Raw genomic sequence first — 17,286 nt, 5'->3', positions numbered from 1 at the left:
CAATTGTATTGTTTTTCCTTCTAGACCAATCTGAAGAAATGCATGGATCACATTCAGCATCGCTTGGTGGAGAAGATCACCAAGATGCTGGACCGAGGCCTGGATCCCAATTTCCACGACCCGGAGACCGGAGGTGAGCACTTGCTAGAGGGGACCTTACCAGGCTTTACGGAAGCGTAGAGAAGGCCAGCCCACTGCTCAGGCTACCTGTGAATAACGCTGCAGTTACCTTTTACTTGGTTTTGTTTGGTGTTTAAAGGTGCATTCTCACTCTCCTCTGTCTTCTCAGTCAGAAGGGGCCGAGCCCGCCTTGTCCATGGGGCATCCCCAGCATCTTGCGTGGGGCCTGGAGCACGGCAGGTGTTCAGTGCAGAATTGTTGAGGAGGTGAATGAGTGAATGAATGAGCAGATGACACGCATGTGTTGTGCCAGCCTTGGGCACACAGATCTTTACAGACACGTATGTTTGTAAAGGTGGAGGATGTGTGTTTCTGCCTCCCGCTGGGCACGGGCAGCCCAGCAGATGGGCATCTGCACCCATGCATCTTATTCCCCTGCTGGAAACCACATTCCTCATGAGTGCGGGCCTCTGGGCATCGGTCGGGAAAGATGGCCCAGGCCCTTGGTGGTTCCACGAGTGTGTGAGTCTTTGCAGCGCGGCCATCCTATGTATCACAGGGTTCAGTGGCAGTACCCGCCTCCACTCAGCATCAATAGCAACCCCTAGTTGTGACAACCAACAGTGTCTCCAGACATCACCCACTGTCCCTGGGTGTGGGCACTGTCACCCCAGGTGACAGTCTCTTGCCAGCAGGGCACCAGCTGGAGTTGGCAGGCAGAGGTTAGGTCCTACTGGAGAACCAAGAGGGGTGGAGGTGAGGGTCTCCATGCAAAGCAGAGTATGCCCCCTCAGGTGGGCTGTCCTGGGCTGGGAATACTCCTCCTGGACTCCCTCCCCTCTTGTCTTGAGTGTGCCAGCCCTGCTTCTGGCCCCTGCATGGTATAGTGCCATCATCACATACTGGTGTCACACCTCAAAAATATAAAATACACAACAAATGTGTTTGTCAACCAAAGAATGCCACTTTCTCATCATTTGTGGGAGCCCCCTCGACCTCTGAACGCTGGGGGGGGGCCCGCTGGGTGTGGATTCAGCCTGCACAGCTCTGTCTGAGCACTGCCGGGGGACTGTCCTTGCCTTTTTGCAATTGTCTGTGTCCCTTAGGCTTCGCTGTGAGCAGCAGGAGAAGCCGGCACGGGCTTGTGGCTGCTGGTAGCTTTGATGCCTGTGACGTTGGGAGGCAGGACTGCATGAGCGAGGCTCAGAGGGGACAGAGTGCCCCCGGGGATAGGGGGAAAGAAGGAAGGTGAGTGCCTGGCTACAGCTGAGCAGCCCCAGGCCCTGCGCCGATCCTCCATGAGGCAGGGAAGCCTGGGGGTCTGCTTGCAGGGCAGTGACGTGGACAAGGCTGGGCTTCCGCTGGAGGTCTGGGCAGTCTCAGCCGGTGGCCTGGAGCAGGAGGCTGGGTTGGGCTTGTGTTGGTAGGGACATCTGGAGAAGGGGAGAGGGGAAAGGGAGTGATTGGGACAAGGGCATGTGGTGGGCAGGGGTGGGTAGTAGGGCATCTGGAGGGCAGGTGGGCAGCTGCAGTGGCCCTCAGCTGTGGGGCAGGCAGTGGGAGGAGGAGAGGAGCTGAGCTGGGAAGCAGAGAGGCCTGAGCTCAGGCATGGTGGTGCGATGGAGGGCGTGTACGTCTGTAGGAGGCTTGGGAGGGCCCTGGCCGACCATCTTTCCCTGACGTGGATGCGTCTCGTGCTGCGCTGATGTGGCAGCTTCTCTTCAGTGATGGCCCCTGTGCCAGCTCCTGGCTCTGTGAGGGCATGAGCCCTTTCCATGTGAGGCTGTGAAGGTAAATGGACCCAGGTGCTCCTGAGCATGACCTTGAGCCTTGGGGCACATCCAGGGGCAGCCTTCATTCTGAGCTGCTGACCCGGATTCTCCCTGGAGGCAGCCTTTGGCCGTGGCTCTCACCACCCTGGCAGAGCCACTTATGTCTTCATCTTGGCCTCGTCGAGGGCTATTTCTGATGCTGCTGCGGGGGACTGGGCAGCGTGGCTCTCTGTCTCGCCTTGGCCTGGCCAGCAGTAGAAGGAGGCTGGATGTCCCCTCTGAGCTGCTCTGCACCTCTCTTCCTGATGTGCCCCCTGTAATTGGCCCCTGTCCTGAGCCAAGCCTCCCCCTGGCTTCCTCCACCAGACTGTTAATGTCTCGACTTTAAGGTTCTGAGATGACTGTTATTCCAGAATAGACTCTCAATTCACTGCTAAAAACACATCAGTGCAGACTCTGAAACAGGTAAGCAGCGATTTCTCTGGGTCCTGCCTGGAGTTAAAACTGCTGCCACTCAAATCCTGGATTAGGCTGGTGCCAGAGCAAAAAGTTCATAGTTGTTGTGAGCCGTTGTGGAGCAGCATAATTAAAGGAGAAAGACCTGACCACTTTCCCCGGAACTGAGTAGAAAAGGCTCGGGAACCTGATCTGTGGAGATGGTACCACGCAGTTACCTTCCGAACGTTCTGAAATATTCCCACGATGACAAGCCTCTGGGCTGGTTTACTGATCACAAAGACCAAACCCAGAGAAGACAGAGGAACCCCTGGTGTCATCAGGTCCCCGATAAGTGGCTCCTGGGAAAGAGCACATAGTTAAGGACAGGCATTCTAGGGTCTCCAGCAAAGGCAGAGACCCACGGGGCCAGGGTCTGGGACAGGGCCCAGTGGGTTTGGTGCTCAAGGACAGAATGCGTGCAGGGAAGAATGCCTGCGTGCTTCCTTACGGGACACTTCCCTGCGTCACCCAGGGAGATGGTGACCACGCATAGAGGTTGGGGGTTTATTGTGTTTTGGTTTTGGCCTTGACAGAAATCATTACCCCTCCACTCCCCTTTCTTTTTTTTTGAGACAGGGTCTCCCCCTGTTACCCAGGCTAGATTGTAGTGGCACAATCTCAGCTCACTGCAACCTCATCCTCCCAGGTTCAGGTGATCCTCCCACCTCAGCCCTCCAAGTAACTGGGACTACAGGCATGTGGCACCACACCAAGGTATTCTTTGTAGAGACGGGGTTTTGCCATGTTGCCCAGGCAGGTCTCAAACTCCTGAGTTCAAGTGATCACCGGCCTCGGCCTTCCGAAGTGTTGGGATTACAGGTGTGTGCCACCACGCCTGGCCTCTCCCCTCCCCTTCCCTCCCCTTCCTTCTTCTTGAGACAGGGTCTCACTGTGTCACCCAGGCTGGCAGGATCACAGCTCACTGCAGCCTTGACCTCCTGAACTCAGCTGATCCTCCCACCTCAGCCTCTTGAATAGCTGGGACTACAGGCACGTGCCACCATACTTGGAATTCTGCCGCTGGAATTCTGGATTAGGCCGGTACCAAAGCAGAAGGTCCATAGTTGTTGTGAGCCGTTGTGAAGCAGCATAATTAAAGGAGAAAGACCTGACCATGTTTCCCAGAGCTGAGTAGAAATGGCTTGGGAGCCTGATCCATGGAGACAGTAGCACAGAGTTACCTTATGAATGTTCTGAAATATTCTCATGATGACAAGCCTCTGGGCTAATTTTTGTGTTTTTTTGTAGAGATGGGGGTCTCCCTATGTGACCCAGGCTGGTCTTAAACTCCTGGGCTCAAGCAGTCCTCTCACCTCAGCCTCCTGAAGTGTTTGGATTACAGGCGTGAGCCACTGAGCCCAGCCTCTTATTTTCAATTTTAAAATTTAAGGCAGAATTATGGAATCAGTTCTCTCCTGGTTGTTGCCAAATGGCAATTTTATGAACCAGCTTTGCTTCTTGTAGTAGCTGATATTTCTCTATAAAGCAGAACTTCCTCTTCCCCTGCCTCCCTTTTGTGAAATGAGCAGAGCTGATTTTTTAGAGCAGTTTTAGGCTGACAGAAAATTGAATAGAAGTACTGTGAGTTCCCATATTGACTGCTCCCCCAGTTTCCTCTGTTAGTAATATCTTGCTTTAGTATAGGACATCTGTTACAATCAGTGAACCAGTTGTGATCCTCAAGTCCAAGCTTACATGAAGGTTCACGCTTGGAGTCGTAACCCAGTAGTGATCCTCAAGTACAGAGCTTACATGAGGGTTTACGCTTGGTGCTGTACCCAACAGTGATCCTCAAGTCCAGAGCTTACATGAGGGTTTATGCTTGGTGCTGTACCCAGTAGTGATCCTCAAGTCCGGAGCTTACATGAGGGTTTACGCCTGGAGTTGTACCCAACAGTGATCCTCCAGTCCGGAGCTTACATGAGAGTTCACTCTTGGTGTTGTACGTTGTCAGTTTTGCCAGATGTCCTGTATCCACCGTCACAGTATCATAAAGATCAGCTTCACTGCCCGAGAGCTCCTCTGTGCCCCTCTTCATCCCTGAGCCCCTGGCAGCTGCTGACCCTTTCTTTTTTTTTTTTTTTTTTTTTTTTAGACTGAGTCTCTCTCTGTCACCCAGGCTGGAGTGCAGTGGCGTGATCTTGGCTCACTGCAACCTCCGCCTCCCGAGTTCAAGTGATTCTCCTGCCTCAGCCTCCTGGTAGCTGGGATTATAGACGTGCACCACCACGCCCAACTAATTTTTTTATTTTTAGTAGAGATGGGGTTTCACCATGTTGGCTAGGCTGGGCTCAAACTCCTGACCTCAAGTGATCCACCCACCTCAGCCTCCCAAAGTGCTGGGATTACAGGTGTGAGCCACCGCACTCAACCTTGCTGACCTTTTCATTGTCTCTGTAGTTTGGCCTTTTCCAGAATGTTCTAGAGCTGGAATCTTAAAATCACACAGTGGGTTTCAGATCGGCTTCTTTCACATGGCAGCACGTGCGGAAGGTGCCTCCAGGCCCTTTCACAGCTTGGAAGCGCGTTTCCTTTTGGTGCTGGATAATGTTCCATTTTCCAATGTACCCCAGTTTGCTTATCCACTTGCCTCCTAAAGGACATCTGGGCTGCTTCCAGCTTTTGGCAATTGTGGGTCAAGCTGCCATAAACACCCGTGTGTGGGTTTTTGTACAGATCAAACTAACAGCGATCATACACAGTGGCATTTTTTTGTAAGGCCAAAAACATTACTTATGGCAAATAAAAAGGGAAAAGGGGTAACTAAGGCAGAAAGTTCTGAAACCGAAGGCCAAGTGCAGACCCACAGGTCGGCTGCAGACAGCGCAGATGGCCCTGGTCTCACACCACCCTGCTTCCCAGCTTCTGCGCCTGCCACCAGTGTCTCAAGAATTCTCATTTGTTTTTTCCAAATCAGGAGAGAAACCAGCAGTGCTGTTAGAGGGGCAGGGAAGTGGGGACCCAGGGTGATGGGGGAAAAGAGAAAAGTGAGGACCCAGGGTGACGGGGGAAAAGAGAAAAGTGAACCAGGGTGGGTGCTCTCAGAAACAAAGGAAGCTGCGGGTAATTCCAGCACAATGGCTTATAGCAACCCTCAGGCACACATGGAGCAAGTATCAGTGGGGACAAGCTAAACGCAAGTTCCAACGAGAGGCCAGAGCCCAGTGCTGCCAGGGAAGACACCACCTTCACTTTGCTTCTGTCAAGGCAGAGCATAAGGGACGGATACGCATCCTCCTGACTGAAATGCAGACACTACCTGGCCACACGGATGACATCACTGTTGGAGACACTGGGCTTCAGAGATGCAGGATGGGGGGGGCCCTGTGTTGGGACTGCAGAGGCGACCCTTCCAATGCCCAGCTCAGTGCCAGTCCATGGAGAGCCCCCAGAGAGGAGACATTAACCCCTACTTCTCTGCAGCTGGCTGTGTGAAGACCAGGTTAATGAACCTCTCTCAGCTTCCATCCTCTTGTCTCCTAAATTGAATGATAACACCTACGGTGGTGCCGGGAAAATGTGAGCGTTAGGTGAGCGTTGTGGTGCTATTAGGCCATTTTCACATTGCTGTAAAGACATACCTGAGGCTGGGTAGTTTATAAAGAAAAGAGGTTTAATTGGCTCTAGGTTCTGCAGGCTGTACAGGAAGCTGGTGGCATCTGCTTCTGGGGAGGCCTCAGGGAGCTTTTACGCATGGCGGAAGGCAAAGGGAGAGCAGGTGCATTGCATGGCAAAAGCAAGGGAGAGAGAGAGAGAGAGAGGAGCAGGTGCATCCCGTGGTGAAAGCAGGAGAGAGAGAGAGAAAGAGGGGGGGAGAGGGAGAAGGGGAGGGGGGGAGGGAGGGAGGGAGAGAGAGAGAGGTGCCACACACCTTTAAACAATCAGATCTTGCAAGAATTCACTCACAATTGTCAGGACAGCACCAAGGAAGGGGATGGTGCTAAACCATTCATGACAAATCTGCCCCCATGATCCAGTCACCTCCCACCAGGCCCCACCTCCAACCCCGGAGATTACATCTCCACGTGAGATTTGGGCAGGACACCCATCCAAACCATATCAGTGGTTAAGCGTATGGGGTATGCGTCACCTTTAATAGAGTTCCAGAATGTTCCTGTCATCAGCATCAACTACGGCAGCTCAGTCAATGTTGTTTTCTCCTGGTTTTGGATGCAGAGGGAGAAACACAGAGTTGGCTTTGGCGGGCTGCCTCCAGGAAACAGGCAGGGTGACCAGTGTATCCGGTTTTCCCGGGACTGCCCTGGTTTTAGCACTGAATGCCTCATATCCTGGGAAGCCTGTTGGTCCCAGGGAGACTGGCACTGTTACCCACCCTACCAGTAACAAGGGCACTTAAAGAGTGATAGCTGCAGTCTATTGGTGACCTGCTGTGCTCCAGCAGCACACAGGGCCTTGCCAGGCCTCAGCTCTGTAATCAAGGGGGTCCCCTGCAGGCACCGCTGTCCTGGGAGGAATCTGAAGCTCTGAGAGCCCAACTGGGTGGCCGCTAGGGCTGATGTCTGCATCCTCTATACTGTTGAACCCTAACCCCCTAGGTGATGGTATTAGGAGGATGGGGCCTTCAGCAGGTGATGGGCTCCTGGGGGCAGAGCCCTTGTGAATGGGATTAGTGCCCTTACAAAAGAGGCAGAGAGAGCTCCCTCGCTCCTTCCACTTTGTGAGGTGAGGTCACAGCAAGAAGGTGCCCTATGTGAACCAGGTAGACACACGCCAAATCTGCCAGCACCTTGATCTTGGACTTCTGGCCTCCAAAACCATGAGCAATGCATGTCTGTCACTTTTAAGCCACCTAGCCTCTGGGATCTTGTTACCACAGCCCAGTCTGGGCCAGTCACTGAGTCACCAGGGAGGGCAGAGGCAGGGCCTGGGCTCCACTTGCCCTGGGGGGTCCCTGCTCTCAACTCCTGGGGGAAAAGGCAGTGGGACGAACAGGGGTCTCTTGGCATGAGCCGGCCTGGCTGGACGTGGATGACCCAGGCAGGCCCAGGTCGGGGACAAGCTGTTCACATTCCCACTTTCCACCTGGTTGTCGGCAGCAGCCTGGGCATGTTCCCATCCCATATTTTAGCCTCTCCACAGTGAGTTTGGTGACTTCTCAAAGCCACCCAGGGGACAGCAGAGTCTGTGCTTAGAGTTGAAAGCAGCCTTTTTGCTAAGCTCAGGAAATGCCGCCATGCTCAGTCCCGGGCCCTGCAGACCTGGGCCCCGCGTCCCTGTTTTGGGGCTGGACATGGGGCCGGAGCGGAGGGAAGCAGCCCTCTAGCCTGAGATAATTAAATCCCAGTGGAACGACCTGTCAATGAAAACAAAACAGCCTGTGTGATTGCAGGCGACCATCTGGTACCTGTTCTAAATGTAAATTTTATTAAGTAACAATGATAAAAGTAGTGTAAAAAAAAAAAATAAAGACTTCCTCCAGCAGAGTCTCAGGCCTCTTCTCCTGCTTTGGTTGGAAACTCTGAGATGAGACCAGTTGTGTTTCCAAGCCCCAAACAGGAAGCGAACCTGGCAACTTGAACAAAATTTAGGTTGGCCCTTTTATCTTGCACTGTTGTCTCCAAATTTGAGAGAAGCCTCAGGCACCACAAAAGAGATCTGGCTAATAAAGCTAGAAATGCCTTTCGACTCTTTTAGTATCTGAATGAGAGGTCAAAAAGAGATGGTTCCTTTACGGATCCAGATTCTGCAGAGCACCTGTGATGTGTCTGGACCTCACTGATGAGATTCAGTTACTGAATCTGTTTCCAGGGTCGGGGTGTACTCATTGCATACCAGGCTGAGCTCCTCCCATTCGGCCGCCCCCCAACTCCGGCTTCCCCTTCTTGCTGCTGTAGCTGTGTCACGGGGAGCCCCTTCCCAGCTCCCGCACCGCTCAGTTAGGAGGCCTCGAGGACATTCTGGGTCCCAGTGCACTGAGCACCTTCAGAGCATCGTCTTGAAGAGCAGAAGGGGCTTGTTTGATGTGTGCAGTGACTGACGGTTCATGCTCCGCAGTCTCACGTTGGCCCCTGAATGAATCGCCAAGTGCGATTCCCCAGAACTAACGGCACCCGGGAATGTGAGGCAATTCAAGAGAATAATGGTTCTGGAACCTCGTAAACCTCCATCTGCAGAGGGTGAGAGGTGCAGAAATTACCCAGTGCCAATGAAGGAGCTGGAAGACTTCGAGTAAATAACTCCCTTTGCTACCAGTGCCTTTGGTTTGTTCAGTACAGTTTCTCATAAAAAGAGACCTGTTTTTAAGGGTCCAATTATTTCAAATACAGTGTCTCATTCTTTCAGGGTTTTTCTATGTACACACTGCCATGTTCTGAAAGGGAATATAGGTGACTCTTAGATGGAGCGAGGTGCCGTGCCTTCAGTAAGGAAAATGCGGCAGAGGGAGTGGCGAGGGTAAGGGTGACACGGAGGCAGGGGCCAGGGTCCACAGGAGCCTGTCTTGGGGTCGGGGACAGAGCCCAGTTTTAGGTTGACAGAAAAACCAGGCAGAAGGCATGGAGTTTTCCCCTATGCACTTTCACTTCCAGCTCGCCTGTTATTGACAGCATGCACTGGTTTAGGGCATTTGTTGCAATAACTGAAGTCCATAGTTTACATGAGGGTCTGCTCATGTTATGGGTTTGGACAGATGCATCTTGTCCTGTACCCACCATTACAGAATTACACAGCATAGCTTCCTTACCCTAAAACTCCTCTGTGCTCCACCCGTCCATCCCTCCCTCCTCTGTGCTCCACCCGTCCATCCCTCCCTTGCCCTCTAACCCCTCATAACCACTGATTTTTTTTTTTTTTTTTTGAGACGGAGTCTTGCTGTGTCACCCAGGCTGGAGTGCAGTGGTGTGATCTCAGCTCACTGCAACCTCTGACTCCCGGGTTCAAGCAATTCTCCTGCCTCAGCCTCCTGAGTAGCTGGGACTACAGGCGTGTGCCACCATGCCTGAGTTATTTTTGTATTTTTAGTAGAGACGGGGTTTCACTGTGTTAACCAGGATGGTCTCGATCTCCTGACCTCATGATCTGCCCGCCTTGGCGTCCCAATGTGCTGGGATTACAGGTGTGAACCACTGTGCCTGGCCAACCACTGGCTCTATAGTTTTGCCTTTTCTAGAATGTCATCGAGTTGGAATCACACAGCATGCAGCCTTTTCAGATTGGCTTCATTCATTTAGCAATATGCATTTAAGCTTCCTTCGTATCGTGTTGTGGCTTGACAGCTTGTCTCTCTTTAGTGTTGAACAACATCTTGTTGTCTGCATGTGCAATGGATAATGTATCCACTCACCTACTGAAGGACCTCTGGATTGTTTGCCATTTTTGGCAACGATGAATAAAGCTGCTGTAAACACTAACATTCAGATTTCCTTGTGGACGTAAGTTTTCAGCTCATTCAGGGAGACACCTAGGAGCTGGGTTGCTGGATTGTGGAGTAAGTGCGTTTTTAGTTTTGTGTCAACTCGCCAAACTGTCTTCCAAAGTGACTGCGCCATTTTACACTCCTACTGGCAATGATGAGAGTTCCTGTTGCTCCACATCCTCCCCAGCATTTGGTGTTGTCAGTGTTCTAGATTTTCATCATTCTGACGATTGTGTTGAGGTGTCTTTTTTTTTTTTTTTTTGACATGGTCTTACTCTGTCTCCCAGGCTGGAGTGCAGTGGTGTGATCATGGTTCACTGCAAACTTGACCTCCTGGGCTCAAGTGATCCTCCTGCTTCAGCCTCCTGAGTAGCTGGGACTACAGGCGTATGCCACTATGCCTGGCAAATTTTTAAATTTTTAGTAGAGGTGAGGCCTCATGTTACCCAGGCAGGTCTTGAACTCCTGAGCTCAAATGATCCTCCTACCTTGGCTCCCAAAGTGCTGCAATTGCAGACATGAGCCACTGAACACAGCCTCTAATTGCTGTCTTAGTTTGCAGTTCCCTAATGACATACGGTGTGGAGCATCTTCTCGTGTGTGTTGGCTATCTGAATATCTTCTGTTGTGAGGTATCCATTTAAATATTTTGTTCCCTTTTTAATTGGGTGGTTTGCTTTCTTGTGGAGTTTTAAGGGTTCTCTGTATAATTTGGCTACAAGTACTTTATACGCTTTTCACAAACATTTTCTGCCTCTCTGAGCAGCAGCATTTTTTACATTAAATCTGTTAACCCGCACAATAGCCAGGAGACATTTGTAAACAAACTTTTCATTTTAGAACAGTTCTAGATTTGCAGAATAAGTGCAAAGATAGTACACAGAGTTACCATATATCCTATACCCAGCTTCCCCCCTTATCAGCATCTTACTCCAGTATTCTTCTGAGCGGAAGTCGTATGGTACGCTTCTCACAGTTAGAGAACCGATATCGATGCATTATTATTAACCGAAGTCCACACCTTTTTCTTCTCTCATAAGCATTTACCTGCTTGTCCTTTCCTGTCCCTGGGCCCCACCCGGGTTCCCACATGACATTCCCTCATTCGTCTCCCTGGGCACCTCTTGGTGGTGATTGTTTCCCAGGCTCTCCCTGTTGGTGATGACCTGGACAGTTTCAGAGGAGGACTGGTCAGGTGCTTGTAGGGTGCCCCTTATTGGGATCCATCTGGTGTTTTCACGATTAGGGGCTGTGGGTGTGAGGAGGAAGAGCACAGAGCCTTTCTCATCACCTGGTGCCGAGGGCCCGTCCTGTTGGTGTGGCTCATCTTGGGCGATGCTGCCCCCCCATCTCCTGGCTGAGCTCGTGTCCATCAGGTTTCCCCACGGAGAGATGGTCCCGTTTTTCTGTTTCCCACACTATGCTCTCAGAAGGAAGCCACTGTGCACAGCCCACACATAAGGGGATCGGGGTGGGGGGTGGTGCGGGCTACGCATCACCCCCTGAGGACAGAGAAGTGATGCGAATTGCTTGGAGTTTGTCTGCATTGCAAGATCGGCCCCTTCCTCCCGTTCACTTGTGAATCCCTTGCTTATTTCTATCAATGTGGTTGCACTCACTTTCTGGTTGACTTATAACCCAGCTTTATTTATTCTGTTCCTTTTGCCTTTAGTCTTACAGACTCCACTCATGTCTGGAGCTACTGAGGTCAGCGGTTCATTCCCCATCCCTTTCAGCGAGGTTGATTCCTACACCTGTGATATGTTCTGTGGTCTTCTCTCACATCATGGTTTCCTTCTGAGCATCCCCAGCCTCCTGAACTATCATCTTCTAAAAAACCTGCTGGAGGCCACCCAGCCCTTCAGGGAAAGAGCTGGGTTTTGTTGACACCAGTCACTTCCCCTCATAGGAAGAATCGCTTGCCCAGTCGTTTGATTTTTGCAGCCCACTGATCTTGGACACTAGGATGCACCTAGGAGCACACACACGGGTGTGCACACATGCACACAGAGGCATGCACACAGGCATGCACACACACAAGCATGTGCACACACAGGCATGCACATGCACACAGGCATGTAGACACACAGGCATGCACACGCACAGGCATGTACACATACACACAGGCATGCACACAGGCATGCACATGCACACAGGCATGCATGCACACAGGCATGTACACATACATACAGGCATGCATACACATAGGCCTGCATACACAACAGGCATGCATACACACAGGCATGTACACACAGGCATGCACACATGCACACACAGGCATGCACACACATAGGCACACATGCACACACAGGCATGCACATGCACACACAGGCACATGCACACACAGGCATGCACAGACACACAGGCGTGCACACAAACAGGCATGCACACATAGGTGTGCATACACACAGCCATGCACACACAGGCACACAGGCATGCACATAGGTGTGCACACATACACTGGCGTACACATGCTCCAGCCTGCACTGCCCTGTGCCCGCTGGGTAGCAGCAGCTGTCTTAAACACTTACACTCCTCCTGCCTCCTGCCCCCACCCCACCCCCCATTGCTGTGCCACCTCCCAGTGTCAGGACAAACAGCCGTGGCTAGTGCCCTCCTGCTGCGCTTCCGGGAGCCCCCGCTTCTCACCCTTTCGAAGCACATCCTGCTTATCCCTGGAGCCAACAGTCTGCTGGGCAGCCTCTAGTTGGAGGGTCTGCGTGTCTCTGAGGTTATCTCAAAATATTACAGGTGTTTCTACTCCCACCCGTTGTTCACGTTGAGGGAGACTGGGGCCACTCTGAGGTTATGCTTGTTGAGGTTCCAGTCTATTTTTAAAACTAAAGAAATTTCAAAATGCAAAACCTGAGGAATAGTCTTAAGAATCATGGTGCCAGATAACTGTGTGGTTCCCATGCTCATCAGGGGAGTGATAGTGCAGTCACTGGGTGTGCATCCCGGGCAGTGCTGTTATATCTGTCACCGGTTTATAGCTCATCAACCAGCATCTTCTCGGGGGTGATTCCATCAGCCCCAAATGTGGAACCTCAGCGGACGTGCTCTTTGCAAATGTGGTGGCTAAGCCAGGGCGGGAAGAGGGGGTCTCCTGACCTCCCCAGGGTGGGTCCTGGCCAGAGGTGAACATGCAAGTCTGGAACATCACTTGAGGAGGGATTCCGGAACCCTTGAGAAGGCTGCCACTTGTCATTGGATGGCCCTGGAAGCCACCCAAGGACCACACATAGCTCCCCATCCTGCACGTGAGACACAGCCATGAACAGAGTGGGATCATTTTCTCCACCGGTGCGTTTATGCAGCCACCTTTAACTGCCTGGCACTGACCAACAGGATGTGGTTTGGCTGCAGGCATCTGTAATTCTGAGTCAAAAGTCAGGATTCAAGCCTCTGATCTGATTTTACCACTTGCCACCAGCTCTCTCTGAGACAGCATTCTCATTTATAAAATGGAACAGCTGAGGTTGTCAGCTATGAAAATTATATGTTAATTTAAAATATCTTTTAAAAAATCTGCTTTGGACTGCCTTTTTGCATTGGGCAAAAGGGAACAGTCAAATGGGAAAGAAAATCCTAACTGTTTTGAAGGCTAACCTTGCCCCGAACGAGTGTCACACGCTCATTAAGTCGCTGTAAGATTTGAATGTTCAGCGTCGATATTGGTGGCTCCCGACAGCCCCAGTCTTTTCGTGCCCTTCGAGGATCAGTCACTTCCCTGACTGTCCACTCTCCCATGGTGGCCTTTATGCTCCAAGGAATAAACTCCCCAGATGCCCTCGGACACTCGTGCTTCAGCCTGGATGCCACCAGGGAAGAGACAGAGAATGAGGGGCTGACTGTTCCTCTCTCTAGCAGGCAGGGGTCACCCCTTGAGTTTGTTTTTCTCTGGCGTCTGCCCCATTTCCACCTCTCTGTGCACATGTGGAACTCTGGCCATGTTCCAACTGGTCTCAATCCCCACACCCCTTGCTGAGCCTTCCTTGCCTTGTAGCTGTTTTCTATGCAAGAAACATCCCCCACTGCCACTGAAGTCCCTTAGTCCCAGAAAATTTCTATTTTTCTTTAAAACTTCTGCATCAGGAGGGTATGCAACAGAGTCATGTGCAATGGCATTCATTCATGAGAACATCGTTCCTAGTTGGGGAAGACAGGAAGCCTGCTTTTCACATGGAGACAGGATGAATGAAGATGCTGGCATGTCTACGCACGGCATCCTAGTTGGGGAAGACAGGAAGCCTGCTTTTCACATGGAGACAGGATGAATGAAGATGCTGGCATGTCTACACACGGCATTCTAGTTGGGGAAGACAGGAAGCATGCTTTTCACATGGAGACAGGATGAATGAAGATGTTGGCATGTCTACACACAGCATCCTAGTTGGGGAAGACAGGAAGCCTGCTTTTCACATGGAGACAGGATGAATGAAGATGCTGGCATGTCTACACACAGCACACTCCTGACATGGAGGGGTTAAGCATGTGCATATCACCATGAAGTGCCAAGCTGCAGAGTGGTTCCTAGGGTGAATGTTAAAAGTCCTCAGGAGGGTACCCATGTATGGATAAGTAAACATCACAATTAAAAATAGATGGGAATAGTCAGTGCACACTCACAAGGCAGGTGCCCTTTCTGGGATGGAGGGGGATGGGATGGGGTGAGGGGTCAGCAAGACACACGCCTTGTGAAAGGCATCCGAGTTTTCTTTCACTGGAATGTGCTTCGAGACCGAGTGAATATTCATTGTTGGTGTTTCTGGGTCATGGGAACTTGTGTGTTGTCCTGGTACTCTGTGCACTTTTCTGGAACGTTAAGAGCCTCTCAAATGAGGAACTCTCAAAAGAGGACCTCAAAGTAGTTCCTCTTGTTTAGCAGTGGCCATGGTGGGCATATTAGAAAGATGAAGAGTGGACGGAAAGATTTGTTGTAATAGACACTGACGTCCTTAGCCACGCTCATCTGCAGACTGGTCCAGGGTCATCTGCACGGGACCCTTGTCCCTACAAAGGCAGACGGCATCCTTCTGTCTGCTGGGCCTCTGCCCTGCCTCCTGGGTCATCCTGCGCCGCGTTAATGAAGGAAGGTTTCCACTTACCCAGATTGGGAGCTCCAGGGGGCACGGACTTCATGTCTCATTTGTGTTTGTGTCCCTGCAGCCCATGGCTGGCATCTCCCAAGATGCCCATAAATGTGACATTGAATGAGGAAAGGTGGGTGTCTGCCTTTCCCATCTCTAATGAGGGCTTTAGTCCGTCACTCCTTCTGTACGGGAAGCACCCAGATGGTACCACAGGATTCTGTGTACTCAGAGGGAAGGGCAGCAAGGGAGCCTCTTGGACTGTGGCCCACACAGCAGTCCTGTTGAATCCCTGCCTCTGCCACCGCTGTGTTGTACGCGTGGCCCTGCGTGTCACTGCATCGCACGGGGGTGCCTGAGCCACGCTGCCCGCCTGGACTCTTGGGGTTCCCAGGTGGTGGGAGCTGTAAACACCCTGGAGGTGGAGGAGGGGAGTCAGTTCTTTCAGCTTAGTTTTGGGCATCTGAATATGGCTTTGTGAGCAGTGTGACAAATGTTGGTTCTAAAGTGTGTGTGTTTGGGTTCCTCAGAGACCCCCCTGACCTTAGCCGCTCAGCTGGACGACTCTGTGGAGGTCATCAAAGCTCTCAAAAATGGTGGAGCTCACCTGGACTTCCGTGCCAAAGATGGGATGACCGCCCTACACAAAGCTGCCCGAGCGAGGAACCAAGTTGCCCTGAAGGTAAACTCGGGCCCATCTTACTTGGGTGCCACCCCGTGCTCTGATTCCGTGCGGCTGCCCCATCCCATCCCCGCAGTGCCCATCCTAGGGGGTCCGTGCACAGTGTTCCGGCCCACCCTAGGAGTCCGTGCACAGTGTTCCGGCTGGAGCTTGGAAGTGAAGCCAGGTTTCAGATTTTCCTGTTCTCTCTCCTGGTTGTCGATGCTTTCAGAATTAATGGTTCCCAAGAAGTCATCTTTCACCTTCTATTCAGTCAAGGGACTTGTCTTTTCAACCCGTAAGGCCAGTGGTGAACCCCAACCCCATCCACAGGAAGACTCACTCATGATCATGAGAGCAGCGCTGAGTGGGTGGTGTTAAGCCATTCCTGAGAATCCGCCCCCATGACCCATCACCTCCCTCCAGGCCCCACCCCCAGCACTGGGGGTTACAATTCGAATTGAGATTTGGGAGGGGACACAGAGCCACATGGTAGATCCCCCCAGCACCCTGTGGCGGGTCCGTGGGAGCCTGCCCTGTTGTGGGTTCCGCGCCTCACCTTCCCCTGCTGCTGTCTTACTGCTCCGTGCCCCTGCCTCACACTGCAGCCACGGCGCCTCTGGACAGGGTGGTGCACGCCCAGGCATCCTCCACCAGAGCCCACACCAGCAGGGATGGGACGTGCCGCTGCAGGTTGACCCCCAAGACGGGGGCCTCGCTGTCCCTAAAGTCTCAGGACTTTCACTTCATTTCAGCTGCACCCCTTCTGTTGGTGTGTGAGTCTGTTCCTGCGTTGCAATAAAGAAATGTGAGATCGGAGTAATTTATAAGAAGAGGTTTCATTGGCTCATGATTCTGCAGGCTGTACAGGAAGCAGAGCAGTTTCTGCTTCCAGGGAGGCCTCAGGAAGTTTCCAATCATGGTGGAAGGTGAAGCGGGAGCAGGCAGTTCCTGTGACCGGAGTGGGAGGAAGACAGAGAGGGAGGAGATGCCACACTTTTAAACAGTAGATCTCATGAGCACTCACTCACTATCACGAAAGCAGCACTGAGTGGGTGGTGTTAAGCCATTCCTGAGAATCCGCCCCCATGACCCATCACCTCCCATCAGGCCCCACCTCCAGCACTGGGGGTTACAATTTGAATTGAGATTTGAGTGGGGACGCAGAGCCACACCGTACCCGTTGGCTTCCTCGGAAATCAGGAGCATTCTTGAAGACGCGATGCTTGCTAGGTTCGCCACCCTCAGCGTGCGGAATGAGGTGGTTTTCCACTGGGCATGTAGGTTAAACCATGCACCTTTTCTCTCTTCCGCAAATGTTGCAGTCACTGTATTGCTGCCCATGCCACACCACTGGCACAAAATGTTGACCAGGCCGAGGAAGGGTCTGAGTGCTGCAGGTCTCCTCGTCTCCCAAATGTCAGCCTGCCCTGCATTTCTGGGCACTGTTTGCTATTTCAGAACTAGAAATGTAGTTGTCTAAAGTTATACCTGCCCCCCCCCCCCTTTATTTTTGAGACTGAGCTTTGCTCTTGTTGCCCAGGCTGGAGTGCAATGGTGCAATCTTGGATCACTGCAACCTCCACCTCCCAGGTTCAAGCAATTCTCCTGTCTCAGCCTCCCAAGTAGCTGGGATTACAGACACCTGCCACCACGCTGGCTATTTTTTTTGTATTTTTCATAGAGACAGGGTTTTGCCATGTTGGCCAGGCTGGTCTTGAACTCCTGACCCCGGGTGATCCACCTGCCTCAGCCTCCCAAAATGCTGGG

At 52.0% G+C, this 17,286-nt stretch overlaps 1 protein-coding gene across 19 annotated transcripts in view, besides 2 other annotated features; it reads left to right on the top strand.

Annotated features, from left to right (window-relative positions):
- Nucleotides 1-17,286, top strand: part of SHANK2 (SH3 and multiple ankyrin repeat domains 2) — a 785,381-nt gene that overhangs the window by 143,161 nt on the left and 624,934 nt on the right. For all 19 annotated transcript variants that reach the window (NM_001441030.1, NM_001441032.1, NM_001441037.1 and 16 more), the window contains 2 exons: nucleotides 25-133; nucleotides 15,386-15,537. In NM_001441030.1, coding sequence (NP_001427959.1) covers nucleotides 25-133; nucleotides 15,386-15,537 — 261 coding nt within the window. The remainder of the gene's footprint in view (nucleotides 1-24; nucleotides 134-15,385; nucleotides 15,538-17,286) is intronic.
- Nucleotides 158-657: an enhancer, noted in NCBI's record as "H3K4me1 hESC enhancer chr11:70820463-70820962 (GRCh37/hg19 assembly coordinates)". NCBI's record gives its function as "activates a minimal SCP1, AML or CMV promoter by ChIP-STARR-seq in naive H9 embryonic stem cells {active_cell/tissue: H9 hESC(naive)}" and the evidence as "EXISTENCE:reporter gene assay evidence [ECO:0000049][PMID:30033119]".
- Nucleotides 658-1,159: an enhancer, noted in NCBI's record as "H3K4me1 hESC enhancer chr11:70819961-70820462 (GRCh37/hg19 assembly coordinates)". NCBI's record gives its function as "activates a minimal SCP1, AML or CMV promoter by ChIP-STARR-seq in naive H9 embryonic stem cells {active_cell/tissue: H9 hESC(naive)}" and the evidence as "EXISTENCE:reporter gene assay evidence [ECO:0000049][PMID:30033119]".

Source organism: Homo sapiens, chromosome 11 (genome assembly GCF_000001405.40).
Source record: "Homo sapiens chromosome 11, GRCh38.p14 Primary Assembly".
NCBI lineage: Eukaryota > Metazoa > Chordata > Mammalia > Primates > Hominidae > Homo > Homo sapiens.
This window is presented reverse-complemented; position numbering and strand designations above follow the sequence as displayed.